Raw genomic sequence first — 8,686 nt, forward strand, 5'->3', positions numbered from 1 at the left:
TTATTTTATGTTCTAACCATTTTCATCTTCTTTCTCCACATTGTCGTTTTATACACAAATAGTTTAAACTTAACTTTACAATGTGTTCTTTAGGTTACAGAATATTTAGTGGGACTATGACTGAATTTGGGGAGTAATTAATATAACCAGTAATGAATACAATGACTGCCAGGACTGCGCATCTCTACATTTTGAGGAAATGGTGAGAAATTTGCCTTTAAAAAACATGGTTGTATTTTATTACAGAAGAAAATTAGAGTTGCTTTGTTGATGTACAGATGTGCTCAAAGATGTGAAGAAGGTTGCACGTGTAGGTTAAGTAGTCAGAGTCCTATTCTCATTTGAATCTCTGTGCTTTTGCTCAAGCTATTCTATGAGGGAAACTTCAAAAAGTTCATGGAAAATGTGTATTATGAAAAACTATGCATGGATTTCAAATTTTTTGCAAATAAACTCATACCAACTTGATATGACATGTCTGAATAGAACCTAGTTTGAGGCACTAAGAAGGATAAGATATCAATTTGAAAAGAGCCCCTATTGGAGCAACATGAATTCTGCTAAAATTGAAGCAAGAACAAACATCGAATTTATGGTGATGCTTGCATGGAAGAATGGTGAAATCACTGATGCTTTACAAAAAGTTTATGAGGATGATGTCCCCAAATAAATCAGCAGTTTACAAATAGATAAACCACTTGAAGAAGGACAAGATAACGTTGAAGATGAAGCCTGCAGTGGCAGACCATCCACATCAATTTGCAAGGGAAAAAAGGATCTTGTTCATGCTCTAGTTGAAAAGGACTGACAATTAACAGCACAAACAATAGCCAACACCACAGATGTCTCAAGTGGCTCAGCTTACGTAATTCTGACTAAAAAATTTGAGCAAACTTTCCACTCTATGAGTGCCAAAACCATTGCGCCCAGATCCACTGCAGACAAGAGCAGAGCTTTCAGTGGAAATTTTAAACAAATAAGATATAGACCCAGTAGCATTTCCTTGAAGAATTGTAACAGGAGATGAAACACGGCTTTACTAGTGTGATTCTGAAGACAAAGTACAATCAAAGCAATGGCTACCGAGACGTGGAAGTGGTCCAGTCAAAGCAAAAGTGGACTGGTTAAGAGCAAAGGTTGTGACAACAGTTTTCTGGAATGCTCAAGGAATTTTTCTTGCTGACTTTCTGGAGGGTCAAAGAATGATAACACTGCTTATTATGAGGGTGGTTTGAGACAGTTAGCCAAAACTTTAGCAGAAAAACACCCAGAAATCTTCACCAGAGAGTCCTTCTTCACAGTGACAATGTTGCTACTCATTCCTCTCATTAAACAAGGACAGTTTTGCAAAGGTTTCAATGGGAAATCATTAGACATCATCCATCTTACAGTCCTGATTGGGCTCATTCTGACTTTTTTTATTTTCTAATCTAAAAAAAATCTGTAAAGGGCACCCATTTTTTTCGTCAGTTAATAATGTAAAAAAGACTGCATTGACATGGTTAAATTCCCAGGACCCTCAGTTCTTTAGGAGGGTCTCATCACTTACAAAAGTGTCTGGAGCCTATGTTGAGAAATAAAGTTTTAATTTTTCAATTTTTATCTCTTAATTTTGTTTTTCCACAAACTTTAAGTTCCCCGTGTATATACCTTAAATGACTCCTCCCATCCTCTCAAATTTGAGACACAGTTTATTTCATCATGAAGTTTCTTCCAGTTACCCTACCCTGCAGTGATTTCTTTCTCTGTGTCCCTGAAGGATTTGATAGTATCGTACATTTAGTACCTAATTATACATTCTGAACATAATTATCTTTTAATTATTGGATGTATTATACTGTTCTCCATCCCCTGCCCCACCTGCCCCAGTCCACTAGACCCTAAGCTCTTTTAGGATGATATCTCATTCCTTTTTTGCACTGTCCATCGAAAACACACATACAGTGAGTCACTACTCGATGAATACTTCTTAATTAAATAACTGTCCTTACCCACTTGCTGCACTGATCAATCTCCATCTTGCTCCGAATTCAGTGTTTCCGCCAATACAGTGTTTTTCAACCTAATTTGACTAGAGAGCATCTTTGACATCAATATCTAATTTCTCAAAACCACTTGGGACTAAAAAGATAATTTGTCAATTTTTGCTTGATATGTAAAAATGATTTACATAAAATGTTTTATTTTGAATTAACATATCATAAAATTCTTTAAAAACATATTCTACATTTGTAATATGACTTTTTTCCATTATTTAGAAATAATTAAGAAAGCAGAGTTAAAATACTGTACTGTAGTTCTTCAAAACATTAAAATAGAATTACTGTATGATCCAGCAACTCCACTTCTGGGTGTATACCCAAATTAATTGAAAGCAGGGACTCAAAAAGATATTTGTACACCCATATTCATAACAGCATTATTCACAGTAGCCACCGAGTGAAAGCAACACAAGTGTCCATCAGTAGATTCATGGATAGAGAAAATGTGGTATGCATTTAATGGCATATTATTCAGTCTTAAAAAGGAAGGAAATTTTGACACATGCTACAACATGGATGAATCTTGAGGATATTATGTGAAGAGAAATAAGATAGTTACAAAAAAAATACTATGTGATTTCACTTATATGAGTTTCCAGGATTAGTTAAATTTATAGAGCCAAAAAGTAGAATGGAGGCTGCCAGGGGCTGGGGAAGAGGGAATAGGGAAGTGGGTAGTAGCTGCAGTCAGATGATCCTGAAGCTGAAATCATCTGAAGACCTATCAACTCACATGTCTGGTGGTGCATGTGATAGTATGTTGGACATGACGTGTCTGCATAGCTGGAGTCTATCCAGATATCTCTCCATGCTGCCTCTCCATGTGGCCAGGTTGGGCTTCCTCAAAGTATGACAATGTGAGGGTGGTCAGACTTCTTACATGGTGCCTGGCTTCCTCTAGAATTTGCATTCCAAAAGACTTGGGGAGAAGTTTCAAGGCTTCTTATGACCTAGCCTCACACAACCCAGAATATCACAATTTTGCTATATCCTATTGGTCAAAGAAGTCACTAACGTCAGCCCAGATTCAAGGAGAGAAGAACTAGACTTCACCCCCTAAAGGGAGAAATAGCAAAACAATTTCAGCCATCTGTAAGCTATTATAAGTGAGCTCATCCAATTGTAAAGTGCAATTATTACTTTCATTCCCATTTTCTGTAATAACAGACTGCATCAGTCATATTATGTATTCACTAACATACTGTATTACCGGAAAATTAACTCCTTACATGTGACAAGACTTTTTGCCTAGGAAAAAAAAATCTAACTTTTTGTGTTACTATAGAATTTCCATTTTTACCCATTTCTAGTTTCTGTTTTTTTGAGACGGAGTCTCGCTCTGTCACCCAGGCTGGCATGCAGTGGCTCTCCGCTCACTGCAACCTCCACCTCCCGGGTTCAAGCAATTCTCCTGCCTCAGCCTCCTGAGTATCTGGGAAGACAGGCCTGCACCACCACGCCTGGCTAACTTTTGTATTTTTTAGTAGAGATCGGGTTTCACCATGTTGGTTACGCTGGTCTCGAACTCCCAACCTCAGGTGGTCCACTCACCTCGGCCTCCCAAAGTGCTTGGATTATAGGCGTGAGCCACCACACCCGGCCTACATACATTTCTAGTTTTTAATATAATTTCCTATTTCTTAACTTGAAGATTGCTTTACTTTTTTTCTCACACAAATGTTTTTATTGAGATATAATTTACTTACTGTAGTAAGCAGAAAAATGGCGCTCCAAAGAAACCTACATCCCAATCCCTGGAACCTGTGAACATGTTGTACCACATGGCAAAACTGAATTAAGGTTACAGGTGAATTTAAGGTTGCCAACTAGCTGACCTTGAAATAGATTATTCTGGGTTGTCTGGTTGGGCCCAACATAATCAAAAGGGTCCACATAAGTGATAGAGAGGCAGAAGAATGGTCAGATTGGTGTGAGAAGGACTCAATCTGCTATTGCTTCTTTGGAAGATGAAGGAAGGGGCCATGAGCCAGGAATGCAGGCAGCCTCTAGAAGCTGGAAAAGTCAAGGAAACATTTCCCTAGTAAGCTCCAGAAAGGAATGCAACACTGCTGACACTTTGCTTTTAGCAAAGTGAGGCCTGTAACAGACTTCTGACCTCCAGAACTGGAATATAATAAAGTTGTCTTGTTTTAAACCAGCCAGGTTGTGATATTTTGTTACAGCAGCAATAGGAAACATATACATGCCATAAAAATTCATGCTTTTGAAGTATATGATTCAATGTTTTTAGTATAGTCCCAAAGTTGTATAACTTCACCACTAATTACAGCATAGTTTAATCACACCCCAAATAAGTTCCATTATCAGTCACTCCCCAGTGCCTCCACCTCCCAGCCCTTGACCACCGCTAATCCACTTTATATCACTATGGATTTGCCTGTGCAAGATATTTCACATAAAAGGAATCATACATGTGTCCTTTTGGGTTTGGCTTCTTTCCCTTACCATAATGTTTTCAAGGTTCATCATGTATCATGGATCAGTACTTCATTTCTTTTTATTGTCAAATAATATTCCATCGTATGGCTATATCACATTTTGTCTATTCATCAGTTAATGGACATTTGGCTTGTTTCCACTTTGGGGGCATTCTAAATCATGCTGCTACGAACGTTGGTATACAAGTTTTTGTGTGAACATATGTTTCCAATACTTTTGCATATATACTTAGGAGTGGAATTGTTGGATCTTATGGCAACTCTCTGTTTAACCTTTTGAGGAACTGCTTAGCTATGCTCCACAGTGGCTGCACAATTTCATATTTTCACCACCAGTGTATGAGGGTTCCAACTTGTCCACATGCTTGCCAACACTTATTTTCTATTTTAAAATTATTATTATAGCCATCCTAGTGGTTTTAAGGTGGTATTTCATTGTGGTTTTGACTTGCATTTCCCTAACGATTAATGATGTTGGGCATATCTTAAAGTGCTTATCATCCATTTATATTATTTCTTTGGGGAATGTCTATTCAAATTCTTTGTTCATTTTAAAATTGAGCTGTTTGTCTTTGTATTATTCAGTTGTGAGAGTGCTTTGTGTACTCTGGATACTAGTCTGTTATCAGATATATAATTTGCAAATACTTTCTTCTTCTTAGTGGGTTGTCTTTTCACTTTTTTGATAGTTACTTTGAAGCATGTAAGTTTTTAATTTTGATGAAGTTCAATTTTTTTTCTTTAGTTGTTTGTGTTTTGGTGTCCTATTTAAGAAACCACTGCCCAATCCGAGGTCATAAAGATTTATTCCTATTTTTTTCCTGAGAACTTTATGCCCTTAGCTCTTGCATTTAGGTCTTAGATCCATTTTGAGTTAATTTTTGTATGTGGTATGTGTGGTATGGGTGCAACTTCATCCTTTTTCATGTGGCAATCCAGTTGTCCCAGAACCATTTGTTGAAAAACCCATTCTGTCCCATTGTATTGTTTTGGCACCTTTGTCAAAAATCAGTTGACCATAAACATATGAATTTATTTCTGGACTTTCAATGTCATTCTGTTGATCAATGTATCTGTCCTTATGCCAGTACCACATAGTTTTGATTACTGCAAATTTGTGGTAAGTTTTGAAATCAAGAAGTGTAAATTCTCCAACTTCATTCTTTTCCAAGATTGTTTTGGTTATTCTGGGTCCCTTGCATTTCCACATGAATTTTGGAATCAGCTTGTCAGTTTTTCTAAAACAGGCAGCAGTGATTTTGATAGGCATTGTGCTGAATCTGTAGATCAGTTGGGGGAGTATTGCCACCTTAATATCGTATGTTTTCCAATCCATGGACATAGAATGCCTCTCTGTTTTTTAAAGTCTTTTTAATTTCTGTCAACAGTGTTTTGTAGTTTTCAGTATACAAGCCTTCAGACTTATTTTGTTAAATTTATTCCTAAGTATTTCATTATTTTTGAGGCTATTGTAAATGGAATGCCTAATGTTATTTTTGGATTACTCATTGATGCTGTATAGAAATACAGTTGATTTTTGTATATTGATCTTGTATCAATTACAAGGGTTCAGCAACATTGCTGAAATTGTTTATTATTTATTAGTTCTAATAGTTCCTTTGGTGGTTTCTTTTTTTTTTCTTTTTTTTTTTTTGAGATGGAGTTTCACTCTTGTCTCCCAGGCTGGTATACAATGGCGCAATCTCGGCTCACTGCAATCTATGCCTCCCAGGTTCAAGTGATTCTCCTGCTTCAGCCTCCTGAGTAGCTGAGATTACAGGCATGGACCACCACGCTCAGCTAATTTTTTGTATTTTTAGTAGAGACGGGGTTTCACCATGTTGGCCAGGCTGGTCTCAAACTCCTGACCTCAGGTGATCCACCTGCCTTCCGGTGGCTCACACCTCTAATCCCAGCACTTTGGGAGGCCGAGGCGGGTGGTGGCTTCTTTAGAATTTTTCTTTTCTTATTTTTAGGAACAGGATCTTGCTCTGTTGCCCAGGCTGGAATGCAGTAACACAATCACAGCTCACTGCAGCCTTGACTTCCCAGCTTCAAACAGTCCTCCCATCTCAGTCTCCTGAGTAGGGGGTACTACAGGCATGTGCCATGATGCCTGGCTAATTTTTTAATTTTTGTGTAGCGACGACTTTTGCTTTGTTGCCCAGGCCGGTAGAATGTTCTTTGTATTATTCATATCATTGGAAAATAAAGATAGCTTTACTTCTTCCTTTCCAATCAGGGTGCTTTTTATTTCATTTTCTTGCCCAATTTCCCTGGCTAGAACCTGCGGTACAATATCGAATAGGTGTGGTGAAAATGAACATCTTTGTCTTATTCCTGATTTTAGGGGGAAAATTTTCCATTTTTTACCATTTAGTGTGATGTTAGCTATGAGAGTTTTGTTGTTGTTGTTTTTTTGAGTCAAGGTCTCACTCGGTTGCCCAGGCTGGAGTACAGTGGCCCAATCATGGCTCATTGCAGCCTTGACCTCCTCAGGCTCAGGTGATCCTCCCACCTCAGGTTCCCGAGTAGCTGAGCCCAAATGTGCACACCCCCATGGCTGGCTAACTTTTGTGTTGTAGAGATGGGGTTTCACCACGTTGCCCAGGCTGGTCTCAAACTCCTGATTTCAAGCAATCCACCCGCCTTGGCCTCCCAAAGTGCTGGGATGAAAAGTGTGGCCCATAGCTGGCCAGGTGCGGGTTTTTCATCCCCGCGCCTGGCCAGCTATGGGTTTTCATAAATGCTCTATATTAGGTTAAGGAAGTTCCCTTCAATTTCTAGGTTTGTTTTTCTCATGAAAGGATATTGAATTTTTGGTGAATTTTTTTGTGTGTCTATTGAGATGGTCATGTGGGTTTTGCTTTTTATTCTATTGATATGGTGTAATTACATTTATTAATTTTCTTTTGTTGAATTGTCTTTCTTAAAAACCATAGTATATATAATTGTTTTGTAGTCTGTATCTGATATTTTTAGCATCTGAAATTGTTGCATTTGCTGTTTCTTTCTCAAGGATTCTAGTTTTCTTACATGTTTTGTGACTTTTGACTATAACTGAAGTTACTTGTAGAAATAATTTGAGATGAGGATGATGGTACCTTCCTCCAGAGAAGATATTTATTTGCCACTTACAAAACAGCAGGAAGTCTCCCTATCCAGGACCACCTCAAATCATACGAAAGCACTGAGATTTCCTGAACAGCCTAGGTGATTCAAAAGTGGCCTGTAATTTTGCACAAAAGCATTATAATTCACCCCCACTTCAAGGAAGGTTTCCTCTGACTCCTGTGTGTGGTATCTGTCCCCCTTACCCTGTTAGTTCTCTAAAAGGAAAGTTGGAGTGTTCTGTAATAGGAAAGTATACTAAAAAATGATATAGACCCTTACCTTATATCATATACAAAATTATCTTGAAACGGATAACTAGCCTAAAAATATAACAGCTGAAACTTAAACCCCTAGGAGAAAATCTAGAAAAAGAATCTTTGTGATGTTGGGTTAGTTAGAGGTTTCTTAGATAGGGCACACTAAGTAAGAACCGTAGGAAAAAATAGATAAATTGAACTACATCAAAAATGAAAACATTTTGCTCTTCAAAAGACACTATTAAGGAAGACACAGAAAATATTTGCAAAACATATATCTGATGAGGGATTTGTATTCAGAATATGTAAAACTCTTACAAACCATAAGACAATCTATTTAAAAAAAAAGGTAAATAAACACATGAAATTTGGTCAACATTATTAGTCATTAGATAAATTGCATTTTAAAGCCACCATGAGGTGCTGGGCACAGTGGCTCACGCCTGTAATCCCAGCACTTTGGGAGGCTGAGGCGATTGGATCACTTGAGGCCAGGAGTTTGAGACCATCCTGGCCAACATGGTGAAACCCCGTCTCTACCAAAAATACAAAAGCTAGCCGGGGCCGGCCACGGTGGCTCACGCTTGTAATTCCAGCACTTTAGGGGGCCAAGGTGGGCAGATCACCTGAGGTCAGGGATTCGAGACCAGCCTGGCCAACATGGCGAAACCCCGTCTCTACTAAAAATCCAAAAATTAGCTGGGTGTGGTGGCGTGTGCCTGTAATCCCAGCTACTCGGGAGGGTGAGGCAGCAGAATCGCTTGAACGCGGGAGGCAGAGGTTGCAGTGAGCCGAGATTGTGCCACAATACTCC

General features: G+C 38.4%; 1 annotated feature.

Moving 5' to 3' along the window:
- Positions 974-1,268: a silencer, noted in NCBI's record as "tiled region #14792; HepG2 Repressive non-DNase unmatched - State 24:Quies". NCBI's record gives its function as "represses a minimal TATA promoter and a strong SV40 promoter by Sharpr-MPRA in HepG2 cells {active_cell/tissue: HepG2}" and the evidence as "EXISTENCE:reporter gene assay evidence [ECO:0000049][PMID:27701403]".

This window comes from Homo sapiens, chromosome 18 (genome assembly GCF_000001405.40).
Source record: "Homo sapiens chromosome 18, GRCh38.p14 Primary Assembly".
NCBI classification, from domain to species: domain Eukaryota; kingdom Metazoa; phylum Chordata; class Mammalia; order Primates; family Hominidae; genus Homo; species Homo sapiens.